Here is a 17,466-nt window from a genome sequence, read left to right on the forward strand (position 1 = left end):
TGAATAGCTCTACCAAATTATTGAACTTCAGGAAGGTTTCAGGAGTCCCGAGTTTTCAAACATTAGTTCAAAAGAATAGATGGGCCCATAGGGTTTGTGACTGGCATCTGCAGTGAGGACAATGTTGTGGGACCGAGGGTCTATGCTGACTTTAGGTGCTGTCAGAATTCAAATATTAGGCAATAAGTTTGTGTTGGAGAAATGTTTGATGTTCAGCAAACTCTACAGATATGGTGCCAGTAAAAAGATATCACAGAGGCCTGGCCTGGAACAAAACTCTGGGTGTTTGGGATTGGGAGGCTCCACTCTCCTGTACACAGGCTGTCACACTGCCCATTGTCCTGTGATTCCAGGTCTTCTCCCAGGGTGACAGAGGACTGAAAACTTAGAGAAAAGGAGCTCTGATTACAGACCCCCTTTTATTGCAGCTATCACCACGGTGTTCCCACCCACTCACAAACACACACACTAGACATTAACGTGTCCACACTCCTCCCAGGACTAGGCATCACCCTCAGAAACTTCACCACGGCATTTTTGATCCTAGTGTTTCTTGTGTTTCTTGTCAAGAACCCACAAGTCTCTACAAGTCTACTGGCATGTCTCCACCCCAGACACTGAATCTGCAGCAGCAACCTGTTTTCTCCACCATCCTAGGATCTGGGCCACATGTTTATAATTTCATCTGCCTACATGCACACAGAAATAAATCAGAGTACAGCCCCACCTGGGCCACTATCTGTAGTGAAAATCATTCCATTCACCTACATTGCACTCTCTCCCACCCAGGAATTATTTTTTTTCTTTTAGCTTTTATTTTTGGTTCGATGTACACATGTGGGTTTGTTATACAGTTAAAATTATGTCATGGGGATTTGTTGTGCAGATTATTTTGTCACTGAGGTACTACCCATAGCACCAAACAGGTGTGTTTTCTGATCCTCTTAGTCCTCACACCCTCCACCCTCAACTAGGCCTCAGTGTCTGTTGTTCTCCTCTTTGTGTTCATGTGTTCTTATTATTTAGCTCTTAATAACATGCATTTGGTTTTCTGTTTCTACGTTAGTTTCCTTTTTTTTTTTTCCTTTCATTTTGTTTTGTCTTTTGAGCTGGACTTTTGCTCTTGTTGTCCAGGCTGGAGTGCAATGGTGCAACCTCGGCTCACCACAACCTCAACTTCCTGGTTCAAGTGATTCTCCTGCCTCAGCCTCCCAAGTAGCTGGGATTACAAGCATGCACCACCATGTCTAGCTAATTTTGTACTTTTAGTAGAGACAGGATTTCTCCACGTGGGTCAGGCTGATCATAAAGTTCCAACCTCAGGTGATTACCCGGCCTCAGCCTCCCAAAGTGTTGGGATTACAGGTGTGAGCCACTGCACCTAGCTTTTGCCTACTTTTTTTTTTTGAGAGAGAGTTTTGCTCTTGTTGCCCAGACTGGATTGCAATAGCGTAATCTTGACCAACTGCAACCTTCACCTTCGAGTGATTCTCCTGCCTCAGCCTCCTGAGTAGCTGGGATTACAGGCACCTGCACCACTCCCAGCTAATTTTTTGTACTTTTAGTAGAAAGGGGGTTTCACCATGTTGGCCAGGCTGGTTTTGAACTCCTGTCCTCAAGTGTTCTGCCTGCCTTGGCTTTCCAAAGTGCTGGGATTACATGCATGAGCCACCATGCCCGGCCTGCCTACTTTTTAATGAGGTTGTTTGTTTTTTTCTTGTAAACTTGTTTAAGTTCTTTTTTTTTTTTTGTGAGATGGAGTCGCTTAGACTGGAGTGCAGTGGCACTATCTCGGCTCACTGCAACCTCTGCCTCCTGGGTTGGAGTGATTCTCCTGCCTCAGCCTTCTGAGTAGCTGGGATTACAGACATGTGCCACCACCACACCCTGCTAATTTTTGTATTTTTAGTAGAGACGAGGTTTCACCCTGTTGGTCAGGCTGGTCTTGAACTCCTGACCTCGTGATACACCCGCCTTGGCCTCCCAAAGTGCTGGGATTACAGTCATGAGTCACCACGCCCAGCCAAGTTCTTAATAAATTCTGGATATTAGGCCTTTGTCAGAGGCAAAGTTTGTAAATATTTTTGTTTATTTTGTAGATTGTTTACTCTGTTGATAGTTTCCTTTGCTGTAAAGAAGCTCTGAAGTTCAAATAGGTCTCATTTGTCAATTTTTGCTTTTGTTGCAGTTGCTTTGGGTAGCTTCCTCATGAAGTCTTTGCCAGTTTCTGTGTCTAGAATGGTATTTCCTAGGTTATCTTGCAGGGTTTCTCATAATTTTGTTTTACATTTAAGTCTTTAATTTATCTTGAGTTGATTTTTGCATATGGTGTAACGAAGGGGTCCAGCTTTAGTCTTCTAAAAAATGCTGGCTAGTTATTCTAGCACCATTTATTAAAGAGAGAATCCTTCCCACATTTCTCTTGTCAGCTTTGTCAAAAATCTGATGATTATAGGAGGGTGACATTATTTCTGGGCTCTCTATTCTATTTCATTGGTCTTGTGCACTCATGGATTTTATATAACATCTTTCTCTCTTCTGGTTTTAACCCCACTAACGTTCTTTCAAGCGCATACAGTATGCAAAACTCAGGTGTCCAAGAGTTCAAAACTCCTTAAAAACTTCCAAAAAAAGGCCAGGTGTGGTGGCTCATGCCTGTAATCCCAGCACTTTTGGAGGCTGAGGTGGGTGGATCACGAGGTCAGGAGATAGAGATCATCCTGGCTAACATAGTGATACCCATCTCTACTAAAAATACAAAAAAAAATTAGTCAGGCGTGGTGGCGGGCGCCTGTAGTCCCAGCTACTTGGGAGGCTGAGGCAGGAGAATGGCGTGAACATGGGAGGTGGGGCTTGCAGTGAGCTGAGATAGTGCCACTGCACTCCAGCCTGGGGGACAGAGCGAGACTCCGTCTCAAAAAAAAAAAAACTTCCAAAAAAATTTTTGCCATTGTCTCATTTCTTAAGGGATTTAGATTATATATAGTTATTTTTCTCTGATTTTTAAAAATATATGTAAATTATATTAACAGCTAAATACCTTTTGTCTTTTTTCTGACTCCAGATTATCTAGAACTTCAGATTTATTGCTTTGTTTTTGGTTCCAAAAAGTTTATTTTTTAATTTTTAGTCCTTTAAATAGACACAGATTTATTTAGATAAAAGCTAATTTTAAGGGCACACAGAAGCTTAGCACAAAGATAGGATCAAATTTAGCAATACATAATGGTAAACATTAAAAGATACTATGTTTCTTTGACAGAAACCAGATTATCCAAGGAAATTATCCAATATTTGCAGGCTGAAGTACTTATACTGCAAAAAGAAGAACAGTTCAGTGCGTAAACTGAACAGTGGAGTCTGTAGTTGTGCCTGGCTTTCTATTTATTACTTCAGAATAATTAGCATAGTTATGTGTAATGTTTGTAGACAAGCTGCATTTATATACATTTAACAGTATTTTGTTTTTCTTTCTTTCTTTCTTCTTTTTTTTTTTTGAGAGAGTCTCTGTTGCCCAAGCTGCAGTGCAGTGGCATGATCTCATCTCACTGCAACTGCTGCCTCCCGGGTTCAAGCGATTCTCCTGCCTCAGCCTTCCGAGTAGCTGGGATTACAGGCATGCATCACTGTTCCTGGCTAAGTTTTTGTATTTATAGTAGAGATGGTTGTCACCATGTTCGCCAGTTTGATCTTGAACTTTTCACCTCAGGTGATCCACCCATTTCAGCTTCCCATAGTGCTAAGATTACAGGTGTGAGCCATAAACAGTATTTTCTAAAATAGTATGAATATAAAGCCACAATACTTACTTTGAATGAATCACTTAAATGGTTATTTTAATATTGTAATTTATACTTTTGAAATATAGTGTTTTGGCTGAAGTATAGTTTTAATTATTAAAAATGCTACATATATTATGACTAGTGAGTAAACACAATTTTAGTGTCTTTTATTTCATTAAATTGGTATGCTGCTATTACAGGACAAATAAAGACATGTGATGTGGCCACCCAAAAACCATAATAGCTCTTCAGTTTGCTATGTTGCAAGTTCTAATATATTCCACTATATGAACATAGTCAGATTCTATTTCTTCATCAAAAAGTGTTGTTGGAAGTTGTCAGATGTATTTCAATATAGAACCTCCATTCAATGGCTAGGAGATGACAGAACAGCAGAGATGGGAAAGAAACTTTATAAAAATTCTTCTGAAAATCTGCCACCTTTCTTCATAATGCTCATGTTTCTCTTGCTGAGAGTAGCTGTGCGCTTTGGGTGTTTAGAGAGAAATTGCTTTTAGGAGAATATTTTCTGGCAGACATGATCAATTTTATATCTAATCTGAGCTTTTTCCTAATATCATTTTAACTTTTTTCTCTCCAGTGCTTTGGGTGTCTGTTTCAGAAGCCCTATTAATTTTTTTTTTTTTTTTTTTATTGATCATTCTTGGGTGTTTCTCGCAGAGGGGGATTTGGCAGGGTCATAGGACAACAGTGGAGGGAAGGTCAGCAGATAAACAAGTGAACAAAGGTCTCTGGTTTTCCTAGGCAGAGGACCCTGCGGCCTTCCGCAGTGTTTGTGTCCCTGGGTACTTGAGATTAGGGAGTGGTGATGACTCTTAATGAGCATGCTGCCTTCAAGCATCTGTTTAACAAAGCACATCTTGCACCGCCCTTAATCCATTTAACACTGAGTGGACACAGCACATGTTTCAGAGAGCACAGGGTTGGGGGTAAGGTCAGAGATCAACAGGATCCCAAGGCAGAAGAATTTTTCTTAGTACAGACCAAAATGAAAAGTCTCCCATGTCTACTTCTTTCTACACAGACACGGCAACCATCCGATTTCTCAGTCTTTTCCGCACCTTTCCCCCCTTTCTATTCCACAAAACAGCCATTGTCATCATGGCCCGTTCTCAATGAGCTGTTGGGTACACCTCCCAGATGGGGTGGTGGCCGGGCAGAGGGGCTCCTCACTTCCCAGTAGGGGCGGCTGGGCAGAGGCGCCCCTCACCTCCCGGATGGGGCGGCTGGCCGGGCAGGGGACTGACCCCACCTCCCTCCCGGACGGGGCGGCTGGCCTGGCGGGGGCTGACCCCCACCTCCCTCCCGGACGGGGTGGCTGCCGGGCGGAGATGCTACTCACTTCCCAGATGGGGCGGCTGCCAGGCAGAGGGTCTCCTCACCTCTCAGATGGGGCGGCCAGGCAGAGACGCTCCTCACCTCCCAGACGGGGTCGCGGCTGGGCAGAGGCGCTCCTCATATCCCAGACGGGGCAGCGGGGCAGAGGCGCTCCCCACATCTCATACGATGGGCGGCCGGGCAGAGACGCTCCTTGCTTCCTAGATGGGATGGTGGCTGGGAAGAGGTGCTCGTCACTTCCTAGATGGGATGGCGGCCGGGCAGAGACCCTCCTCACTTTCAGACTGGGCAGCCAGGCAGAGGGGCCCCTCACATCCCAGACGATGGGCGGCCAGGCAGAGACGCTCCTCACTTCCCAGACGGGGTGGCGGCCGGGCAGAGGCTGCAATCTCGGTACTTTGGGAGGCCAAGGCAGGCGGCTGGGAGGTGGAGGTTGTAGCCAGCTGAGATCACGCCACTGCACTCCAGCCTGGGCAACATTGAGCACTGAGTGAACGAGACTCCGTCTGCAATCCCGGCACCTCAGGAGGCCGAGGCTGGCGGATCACTCGCGGTTAGGAGCTGGAGACCAGCCCGGCCAACACAGCGAAACCCCGTCTCCACCAAAAAAGTACGAAAACCAGTCAGGCGTGGCGGCGCGCACCTGCAATCGCAGGCACTCGGCAGGCTGAGGCAGGAGAATCAGGCAGGGAGGTTGCAGTGAGCCGAGATGGCAGCAGTACAGTCCAGCTTCGGCTCGGCATCAGAGGGAGACTGTGGGGAGAGGGAGAGGGACAGGGAGAGGGAGAGTCGAAGCCCTATTAATTAATCCCATGATTTCTGATTAAGCTAGGCTGTCACAGTGAGAACTTTTGGAGCTATCTCTATCTGGACTCATGCTGGAAATTCAGCAGTATTTTTTCCTTGTCACCATTATAAGTAGAAACTGAGGTTGAAACACTGCTCTCATTTTCATTATTGTGAATGTGTAATTCTACCCAGGAGGCCTGCAGGCTCTCCTCCTGCAGCTCAGGCCTCACTCTCTGATGTGACACTAGAGTGCTGCTGTGGCAAATGGGGTTCATATAAAATGTGAGCTGTGCTCTGGGCTGTGCCTCAGTGGCAGATGGTAGAGGTCAAGAGAGCATACTAGCAACCAGGAGAAAGCAAGCAGGAGTGCTGTAGCCCACTGCCAGTGAGTACAGAGCCACTCCTCTAAACTGTAACTAGCCAAAATATAGAACACTATTCAACCATTTTTGTAGCAGAGTGAAATCTTAGCTTCAGCAGGTACCTGACTTCAAGCTGCTAAAATAACTCCTGTTATGAAGATGTGAAAAGTTTATTTGTCATTGAATATAAGCAATTAGCATACACAGATGGCCTCTTCAATTTCCAGGTAGATTTAAGATGAACGATGTATGACATGGTGCTTTAAATTCTTCTACTTATGGACTAATTATGTTGACCATCTTTCTGTCATTGCAGTCTCTTAAGCAGATGGACTATGATGCATGTCACATTCAAGTTTAATTGTAAAATAAAAACGTTTGTTTTTTGAGATGGAGTTTCACTCTTATTGCCCAGGCTGGAGTGCAATGGTGCGATCTCAGCTCACTAACCCCGCCTCCCAGGTTCAAGTGATTCTCCTGCCTTAGCCTCCCTAGTAGCTGGGATTGCAGGCATGTGCCACCATGCCTGGTTAATTTTTGTATTTTTTAGTAGAGAGGGGGTTTGTCAGTGTTGGCCAGGCTGGTCTCAAACTCTTGACCTCAGGTGATCCACCCGCCTCGGCCTCCCAAAGTGCTGGGATTACAGGCACGAGCCACCACACCCAGCCAAAACGTTTTCTTTCTGTTCTATTATTGTGGAGTTTTTCTGGGGCTGTAAACATTTGTTCTTTTTTTTTGAGACGAAGTCTCTCATCCCCCAGGCTGGAGTGTGATGGCGCAAACTTGGCTCGCTGCAACCTCTGCCTCCTGGGTTCAAGAGATTCTCCTGCCTCGGCCCTTTGAGTAGCTGGGATTACAGGTGCCTGCCACCAGGCCCGGCTAATTTTTTTTTTGTATTTTTAGTAGAGATGGGTTTTACCATGTTGGCCAGGCTGGTCTAGAACTCTTGACCTCAGGTGATCCACCCGCCTAGGCCTCCCAAAGTCCTGGGATTATAGACATGAGCCACCATGTCCAGCGAAGAAAATTGTTCTTCTCTTTTTTTTCTTTTTGAGACAAAGTCTCACTCTGTCACCCAGGCTGGAGTGTGCTGTGGTGCCTTCTCGGCTCACTGCAAGCTCCACCTCCTGGGTTCATGCCATTCTCCTGCCTCAGCCTCCTGAATAGCTGGGACTACAGGCTCCCACCACCACACCTGGCTAATTTTTTGTATTTTTAGTAGAGATGGGGTTTCACTGTGTTAGTTAGATGGTCTCGATCTCCTGACCTCATGATCTGCCTGTCTCGGCCTCCCAAAGTGCTGGGATTACAGGTGTGAGCCACCGCGCCTGGCCAAAGAAAATTGTTCTTCTAATTATTGTTTCCAAACACTGTCTAGAATTACCAGACATGATATAAACACATAAGGTGCCAACCAGAATTTAGCAAGGCCTTTCCCTGTCAGGCTTCCAGTCAATTCACACTTGTGCAGCAAAGTGCATGCTGTCCCCTAAATATGCAGGCAGAATTGTGTCTCTATTTGTTATCTATAGTCCTGTACATTCACTTCTAGAGAGGCTAGATCAGATTTCTACAAATTTCATAGGGCAGCAATCAATCATTTTATCTCTTTCAATGACTCCTGTATCTTCAGACTTGAAACAGATTCAGAGACCATGGGGCCCACAAACCCAGTTAGAGTAACATGTGTGCATTGAGTAGACATGTTGACAAGAGAATCTCCACTTTCACCTTCCTCCTCTTGCTAAAATGCTCACAAATGTGCAGGTAACACCTGCTGCTCCTCCTGCCATTCAGGCCCTAAATCTACAGCTCTATATTTTGAATCCAGATCTTGAGATTTGGGAAATAAAAAACTTTTGTCTAAATAAAGCAGGTTCTTTTGGTTATCAAACTCAGAGACATGTTAAAATGAAAGTGCAGTTATGTCTTTCTCCCACTTTGAACGATGTATTCATCTATTGAAACTGTTCACTATTGGCACAAGTGACTATAAATTAAACTAATGATGCCACATTGGACACTATCCCATGCCCTAAAACATAATGATAGATATCTAATCAATAATCAATGTTATTTATGTAAATAAATAAAAACTTTTGACAAACAACTCTGCATCAGCCCACTTTCTGTCCCTGTCTTGTCTTGACATATCTTCCTGTAAATACTACTAATCAAAGTGTAGATTCCAGGCAACTTGAATCTTTGCTCCCAGGTTATAACCCTTAAGCTTGACCCAAATAAACTGTCTACTTATATTCATGTTATGTCACCTTTTTTTTAAATGTAGACTTATTATTTAGAATGTGTTAGAGCAGCCTCTATGAGAGCTCTCTTTTGACTGTACTCCACTTGGTGTAACACAAAAGGATGCAGAGCCAAGTTGATCCTACCTAGAATTTGCAGATAAGGTCTGCCCTCTGCCTGGGATTTAAAAAAAAAAGCCAGACTTTGGATAGAGAATGTACAGAAAATTAACAAAAGTCATTTTCTGCATTGTAAGTTGTCAAGATAGATATCTTACAGGCCCCATTTGGGAGTGTGGCATTTTGAGATTTTTCACATCTTGTTCATTGGCCTGCTACAGTGATGTGAGAGGCTCCAGGAGGAAATAGAATCTGATGGCAGAATCTGTAAGTGTAAATAATCATCTTAGGAGTGAGAGATCAAGGCCACAAAGTATCCAGAGCCTTGATCACAACTATAATTACCTGTAAAATGTGATACTGGAGTAGAGTATTTTTGTTTCTTTCTCTCATCCAAGAGCTAGCAAATCAGGACAGATGATGTAGGTTCTGGAGCTCCACCAAGGCAGTTGTTTTCTATTCAGAATCAGCCTGAGTTTCTCCAGATGGCTTATCATTGGGCCAACAGCCCTGGTTCACCAGGAATTCCCTCACAATCACCTAGGTGTCTTTGAGGCATTTGAGGATGTCCAGAGCAGAATTGTGTTAGGCTGACAAGAGTGGTTAATTCTGCTTCTGTCTCAGTGTAAGAGAAATGAGTCATCCTGTGTTCATTCATGCCCTCATACAAGAGGTGCCTTTTTTGGTACCCAGATCAGAGTTTCTCCAGTTTCCTGGTACTTGGATGATAAACAAGGAGGAGATCTGGAGACCCAAATAGATAAACTAGTTGCTTCCATTTCATATGGCCATTAAAAAAATACGTGAAGCAGTCATGGTTCCTACAGTCCAGAAACTTTTAGTCTAGACCAGCAACTGGATAAATAATTGAATTGTGCATTGTATGGTTGGCACAATATATAGATGTGTCCAGAACCTTGGGTTTTATTTAGGCCACTTTATGCCGTTATGACTTCTGAATTGTACACCTGAAGGGATATTTATGAATAGAATAATTGTTATTATAATTTTTTTTCTTTAGTCAGAATCTCACTGTGTTACCCAGGCATGAGTGCAGTGACATGATCTTGGCTCACCGCAATTTCTGCCACTTGGGTTCAAGCGATTCTCCTGCCTCAGCCTCCAAAGTAGCTGGGATTGCTGGCCCCAGCCACTGTGGTCAGGCTGGTCTTGAACTCCTGACCTCGTGATCCACCCACCTTGGCCTCACAAAGTGTTGGGATTACAGGTGTAAGGCAGTGCACCCAGCTGTATAATTTCTACTTTTTTTTACCTTCTAAAGTGTACATATTGATTTTCTAATAAAATTACCCTAGAAAACCTTAAGGGATTTGTTTAAATTGTGTATTAGTATATAGTATAAAGTTGACAGGGCAGTGGCTAGAAAAATTAAAATTATAGGAACTCTGGGATTTAAGTTTCTTTTAGGTAAGCTTAGAAGAAACAAAACTGGAAGTACCCCAGTGGCATAGAGAACAGAATTCTACATAAGTCCTCACACTGCCTGAGACCTGATCAGATTCATGCTTTTTGGAGGCGTTATTTAGGTCTGACCCTACCCTGGAGTCTTGCCTCACAGGACTGATTAGTAGAGATCAGAGTTTTGGCTGGTGAATCCTGCTGCCTTTCTAGAGCTGGTGCTCACAATTCCCTGAATCCCAAAAGCAGATGAAAGGGAAAAATAGTCCGGGCGCGGTGGCTCACGCCTGTAATCCCAGCACTTTGGGAGGCCAAGGCGGGCAGATCATGAGGTCAGGAAATCGAGACCATCCTGGCTAACACGGTGAAACCCCACCTCTACTAAGAATACAAAAAATTAGCTGGGTGTGGTGGTGGGCGCCTGTAGTCCCAGCTACTGAGGAGGCTGAGGCAGGAGAATGGCGTGAACCCAGGAGGCGGAGCTTGCAGTGAGCCCAGATCGCGCCACTGCACTCCAGCCTGGGTGGCAGCGAGACTCCATCTCAAAAAACAAAAAAAAAAAAAGGGAAAAATAAAGTACGTATTTTAGGGTCTTAGTTTTTAAATTTTCTGTTAAAGCCAGTGTTTGCAGAGACATTCTATTTAGCAACTTGTTTTCTATTCTTGCAGATCCAGTAGTTGCTCCACAAGTCACAGAAAAGTAAATATGAACAGAATAAAATTTTCTCTAAATTACATTAAATTATTCCTTTCTATCTCTTTCATCTGTCTATATTTTGCTTTTACAGTGTTTTAAAAAAATTCATGACAGAGAAACAGAAGAAGAAATAAAAATGCCGCACCCTTTACCTAAATCCTAAAGTTTATTAAACACTTAGTACCAGCTTTCAGGGTGTTATGAGAATTAAATCACAGAATGTGCTATGCCCAGCACAGTGCTCTGTATCATTCTCTTGAGCACAAAGTACCTGCTTAATAAACATTGCATTAGTACTTGTGTACATGTTGTTTTTTAAATACAGACTTACTCTGTCATTTCTGCCTTCAGTTTCCTCTATAAACTTTAAAGAGCCAGCGAAGCATATAAAACTTTAGGGTGGAGATGCGTTGTCCCTATTTGTATCAGAAGTATTTGGTTGTGAAAAGAGTGCTAAATGTAAGGGACCCTGTGCTGTTCCTGCTTTCTCTAACTAATGCTAATAATGAGCCAAGGGGAAGCAACTTCAGCATTGACAGGGGACTTGTTTAAAACACCCATTCATGGACCCTTTTCAAGCCTCCAGAATCACATTACATAAAGTGGACCCAAAATTACCAAGTGATTTATAAGCCCATTAAAGCTTGAGAGGCAATGCTTAGCTTAGTGATTACCAGCCCAGGCTTTTCCTTAGGAACACATGGCCAATTTGCAGAAACCTCTTGTGCCCTCCCCACAGCTTCTGTTTGTTCTGCATGGAAGCACTTATGTTGTTTTAATGAAGGGTCTCATGTGACTCTAAGGTGAGGCCAGAATCAAGTATGAGCACTTCAAAATACAATACAAAGGAGTTAAGTTCCACCTTTGCACTAAAGGGTGGTCACAGGGCCTGTTCTGTTTGGGTTTGGTACAGACAGGTCAGTGTGGTGCATAATTCCATTACTGGAAATTGCTGGTGTCTGTGGCAGGGAGGGCACCTGAGGACAGGAAATGAGAAACTTATATTTCTATCTTCATGGAGCAATTCATTGTTCCCTGAATCTCTTCTGTTTCAAAGGACAGAAATAGGTGGGCTTTTTCTGTCATTTTGCCAGTTGATGTCATGCCAGCAGGTAATCATGTGTTACTGATACCTTTAAAGGCATGTTCTCAAGATGCAGGTGTAATTTTTCCAGAGAATCTCATCTGAGAAGGAATTCCAGAGGAGGAGGAGGAGAAAAAAAAGTGGCTCTTCTTAAGGTAAACGTGTCTCAGATGAAGAGCTGTGTCCACTCTGCCTCCTGGACCCCCATGAGTTTAGTACTCACAAACCTTTACTTCTCTACTTGTGTTTTCCCTCCCTGAGTTTGGTTTTACTACTTAAAATTCTTATGATAGTCAAGGGTCTCTGAAAAATATTTCTTTCCTATATCCCAGAGCTTTCTCTGCATTCTCTATGTCATAGCTTCTTATATGCCATGCAGAATTCTCAGCAAGAATTTGTAATCTGCAATATTAAAAATGTTCCCTTTGTGGCTGTTGAACATGGAAAGATGTGGATACTCAAGATTTCTGTTGGGGAAAATTGTGGTCCTTAGTATAGATGAAGAACATGTAATGTTGAGGCTTCATCTGTATGTTCCATTAGCTCTATGCAGAACAGGATTAAGAAAATGCTTTTTTATATGGAATGGCATTTATTATCCAGAAAGTTCTGAAAGAAATTATTAGGAGATACCTGCTCTCTTGGGTGCTAAATGAAGCCTACTTAAAATTACTACTAAAAATTACAGAACATAGGAGTTATCAAAAACTTTGAAGTTAGCATAAAACATGTTTCTTTATGGTTAAATTCAGATTTTATTTACTTTCTTTGGGAGGAATATTTCAACAGTGATGCTGTGTTCTTCTGTGTGAATTAGGACATCATAAAAATTTATCGTAGTGCAGTTAATGGTTAATGATTCAGTTGGTGAAATAGCTCTCTGACAGATTTTTTTCACTATAGAGATAATTATTTTTCTATTCATTATTATGTTTATGCAGCTGATATGCATAAACCTCACATTAAATCTGGCAGCTTTCTTTTTTAAACATATTTTTCTTAGGGAAATGAAGCCTCTTATCTTTGTTTACAGGCTAGAAAATCTGAAAAAAACACAGGCTCTTGCACTTACTGCATTTGACAAAATATCATTTTTGGGACAAAAACATTAACATTATTGGTGAGCTTGTTAGAAATTCAAAAAATCAGACTTTATGCCAGATCTTTTGGAAAAAAAAATCCTGCATAAGAAGGACTTCAGCTTATTGTACATGTTAAAATTGGAGAGATGACTTCTAACTCAACATGTCTTTTCTGTCTGAAAAATATTCATAACTGATTCTGTATGATGTAAATATAGCACTCAAAAATGTACATGTTCATGTTCATGCCCTTTATTTTATACTTTATTATCTAGAAAAATATCATTATATGAACTAATGTTGTGGATCTTAGGCTGCTCTTTTTTTTCAGAGATAGAGAATACATTAGAAAATATTTCTGTATTGAAAATTATTTTATTGGATAATTTTAGTCAATCCTATAAGTAAGAATCAGTTCTCTTACTCTCTCATTTCACCTTAAATTAAAAATTCCACCAACGGCGACTTGGTGAAAATGTGTGTGTGTGTGTGTTTTTCAGGAATCATTGCAATTTAGAGATGTGGCTGTAGAATTCTCTCTGGAGGAGTGGCATTGCCTGGACACTGCACAGCAGAATTTATATAGGGATGTGATGTTAGAGAACTACAGACACCTGGTCTTCCTTGGTGAGGATAACTTAAATACATAATTCATAAAAAACCCCAAAAGTTTTATTTCTCTTTTTTGCAGAATGATTTTAGTAATTTATCCTTTGCATAAAAGAGTTCCAGATGTCCTTTTTCCAGAAAATCTTCAGAATTTGTTTATTTAGAAAAGAATTTCTTCAAGATGTTTCATCTTAATCCAAACTTTCCACATTGCTGAGTTGAGCTTTATTCTTCACTCTAAATTAGTGGTAATTTCAGAAATTTAGTGGCATAAAATAGTGTTGCCCTCAGCTGAAAATCTCATTGCCACCATCAGTTTTTGATTCAGTAGTATCAGGTAGTAAATTTAAAAAGCCTTCATGCAGGGCCAGGCGCAGTGGCTCATACCTGTAATTCCAGCACTTTGGGAGGCTGAGACGGGCAGATCACCTGAAGTTGGGAGTTTGAGACCAGCCTGACCAACATGGAGAAACCCCGCCTATACTAAAAATACAAAATTAGTCGTTTATGGTGGCATAGTCCTGTAATCCCAGCTACTCCGGAGGCTGAGGCAGGAGATTCCCTTGAACACAGGAGGCAGAGGTTTTGGTGAGCCGAGACTGAGCCATTGCACTCTAGCCTGGGCAAGAAGAGCAAATACCACTCTAATTTTGATAGGAAGTTTATTGAATCTATAGATCACTTTGGATAATGTGGCAATTTAAAAATCTATTTGGATCTTCTCTTCGTAGATTTTTATTGTAAAGATTTTTTACCTTCTTAGTAATTTTTTAAAGAAATTTATTATTTAATGGTATAGTAAATAAGATTTTTTCTTTCTCTATTTTATCAGATAGTTTAAGTGTTTGAGACCATACATATACTTGTATGTTAATTTTATGTTTTGCTAATTTGCTGAGTGTATTTGTCAGTTTAGAAAGGTTTTAAGGTATTGTTTATGTTTTTTTTTTTTTTTTTTTTTTTTGAGATGGAGTCTCGCTCTGTTGCCCAGGCTGGAGTGCAATGGCATGATCTCAGCTCACTGCAACCTCTGCCTCCTGGGTTCAAGCAATTCTCCTGTCTGAGCCTCCTGAGTAGCTGGTACTACTACAGGCACGTGCCGCTGCACCCAGCTTTTTGTATTTTAGTAGAAATGGGGTTTCACCATGTTGGCCAGGCTGGTCTCAAACTCCTGACCTTGTGATCCACCCATCTTGGCCTCCCAGAGTGCTAGGATTAGAGGTGTGAGCCACTGCAACTGGCCCTATTTATGGTTTTTAAAGTACTGCTTAATGTTTTTTAAATATAAGATTGTATGATCTATAAACAGCAACTTTTTACTTATTTTACTCCATCTCCAAAAAAAAAAAAAAGAAACCTTAAAGTTGAAAGTATTTTCTAAATATTTAGAAATTTGTTATGAATTAGTATTTTGGTATTAATTTACTAGAATATTTTATTACATTCTTTCTGCTGAGCACATTACTAGCTTGTAATTGAGAAATATAAGCAAGATTAATGCTATTTATTTTTAATGAAACAGGTATTATTGTCTCTAAGCCAGACCTGATCACCTGTCTGGAGCAAGGAATAAAACCTCTGACTATGAAGAGACATGAGATGATTGCCAAACCCCCAGGTAGGTGCGAATGAAAATGAACACAACAGACAATGCAGATAAGAGGTCCCAAGGTCAAAAAGAAAGCCAGTCCTTAAAATGTGATCTGGGAAGCTGTGTTCCAAAGGAAATAGTTCCTGGGCAGCTGTTTTATTTATTTATTTATTTATTTAATTTTTCTCTCACAAAGGGACATCTGTCTCATGCTTTTAAATTCTCTAAGGATTCTACTATTCTTTCGGTGAGCTTCCTTCAAGTTCACAGTGAGAGCGAAATTCCTCTTTATGGCATATAAGTGATTGCACAATCTGGCTGCTTTTCCGTTGCCTTGGGGACACACAAATATCTGCGTGATTTTGAGAAACTAAAACCCTTTTTTAAGTTGTCTTTTTGCTTCAGATCTGAAATGTGTGACAGTATTAGTTTTTGTTGCATTTTTTGTTCATTTTTTCTGCACAGTCCATTCTGTTTTTATTACTATATAGTCTTGAAATATAGTTTGAAATTATAAGTATGATATCCTTCTGCTTTGATCTTTTTCCTCAAGATTGCTTTGGCTATCAAAGTTATTTTAGTATCACGTAACTTTTAGAAATGTATTTTCCATTACTATGAAAAAAATACCACTGCAATTTTGATAGGAGGTTTATTGAATCTATAGATCACTCTGGTTAATACGGCAATTTTAAAATTTATTTGGATCTTCTCTAATATTTTCATAGGTTTTTTTTTTTTTTTTTGAGAAGGAGTCTTGCTCTGTTGCCCAGGCTGGAGTGCAGTGGTGTGATCTTGGTTCACTGCAAACTCTGCCTCCTGGGTTCAAGCAATTCTCTGCCTCAGCCTCCTGTGTAGCTGAGATTACAGGTGCATACAACCATGCCTGGCTAATTTTTTTTGTATTTTTTGTAGAGAGGGGTTTCACCATGTTGGCCAGGCTGGTCTTGAACTCCTGACCTTGTGATCCACCCACCTCAGCCTCCCAAAGTGCTGGGATTACAGGCATGAGCCACCCCGCCCGGCCCATAGTTTTTTTATTGTAAAGATTTTTTTACCTCCTTGGTTTTTTTCTAAGAAGTTTATTACTTAATGCTATAGTAAATAAGATTTTTTTCTTCCTCTATTTTATCAGTTTGTTTTAAGTGTATGAGACCATACATACACTTGTATGTTAATTTTATATTTTGCTAATTTACTGAGTGTATTTATCACTTCAGACAGGTTTTAATGTACTATTTATTGATTTTTAAATACAAGATTATACGATCTACAAACAGCGACTTTTTACTTATTTTTCTTTAATTTCAATGGATTTTTTTATTTCTTTGACTAATTCTTCTGCCACATGCTTCCAGTGCTACATTAAAATAGAAGCATTGACAATGGGCACAATATAGTTTTGTATTGGTGCCTAAATTTGATGGAGCAAACACCTCTTCAAGTTTTTTTTTTTTTTTTTTTTTGAGAGAGTCTCACTCTGTTGCCCAGGCTGCAGTGCAGTGGTGCAGTCTCAGCTCACTGCAACCTCCACCTCCCGGGTTCACGCCATTCTCCTGCCTCAGCCTCCCGAGTAGCTGGGACTACAGGCGCCCACCACCACACCCGGCTAATTTTTTAAAAATTTTTATTAGAGACAGGGTTTCACCGTGTTAGCCAGGATGGTCTCGATCTCCTGACCTCGTGATCCATCCGCCTCGGCCTCCCAAAGTGCTGGGATTACAGGTGTGAGCCACCACGCCTGGCCTTCAAGTTTTTATAAACTGATTTTAGAAGGTAAAGATCTTTTGTTGGGCCCTTAGGGTGATGAGATGCCCTCTGAATTTGTAGTGGAGAGGGGGTGTAGCTTGGTGACAAGGCTGCTGGGTCTGCACTAGGGTCCACCTTTAGTTGGCTTGTTACAGGGGCTTGGGTAGTTGTACTTCTCATTTTATTTTTGGACAGACTGCATATCCTTCAGGGCTTTGCTCCGTAGTTAAAACACTAGGGTATGTTTTTGTAGTCAGGTCTGCATATGGTGGGCCTTATATCTGGATATTGATGAGTATGGCTTTTATTGAGTATCAGAGAGCATTCCCTCAGATAACTGTGGGTTTCTATATAGGCAGAACTGACCATAAACTATCTTGTTTAAGTGAGTAGTCATGGAGATAGTCTTTTTTTTCACCATGTGTTTAATGATGAATATATATTTCCTTTTGTGAGAGAAATACTTGTTTGATTTGAAGGTAATTTTCAAAAAGATTTATAATTCTGGATTTTTTTTCAGTTTTTCTTTAAAAAAATTGTTTTAAAAACACATAACATAAAATTTACCATCTTAATT

General features: G+C 41.2%; 1 protein-coding gene, 1 long non-coding RNA gene and 1 pseudogene across 3 annotated transcripts in view, besides 1 other annotated feature; 1 reads left to right on the forward strand and 2 right to left on the reverse strand.

Moving 5' to 3' along the window:
• Positions 1 to 17,466, reverse strand: part of LOC105372310 (uncharacterized) — a 148,126-nt gene that overhangs the window by 47,213 nt on the left and 83,447 nt on the right. The window lies entirely within an intron of this gene.
• The window catches only part of ZNF486 (zinc finger protein 486), a 33,275-nt gene that overhangs the window by 3,702 nt on the left and 12,107 nt on the right, over positions 1 to 17,466 (forward strand). The window contains exons 2-3 of the mRNA NM_052852.4: positions 13,441 to 13,567; positions 15,072 to 15,167. Coding sequence (NP_443084.2) covers positions 13,441 to 13,567; positions 15,072 to 15,167 — 223 coding nt within the window. The remainder of the gene's footprint in view (positions 1 to 13,440; positions 13,568 to 15,071; positions 15,168 to 17,466) is intronic.
• BNIP3P16 (BCL2 interacting protein 3 pseudogene 16) lies at positions 4,098 to 6,148 on the reverse strand (annotated as a pseudogene).
• Positions 5,343 to 6,332: an enhancer, noted in NCBI's record as "H3K27ac hESC enhancer chr19:20287067-20288056 (GRCh37/hg19 assembly coordinates)". NCBI's record gives its function as "activates a minimal SCP1, AML or CMV promoter by ChIP-STARR-seq in primed H9 embryonic stem cells {active_cell/tissue: H9 hESC(primed)}" and the evidence as "EXISTENCE:reporter gene assay evidence [ECO:0000049][PMID:30033119]".

The sequence above is a fragment of the Homo sapiens genome, chromosome 19 (genome assembly GCF_000001405.40).
Source record: "Homo sapiens chromosome 19, GRCh38.p14 Primary Assembly".
NCBI lineage: Eukaryota > Metazoa > Chordata > Mammalia > Primates > Hominidae > Homo > Homo sapiens.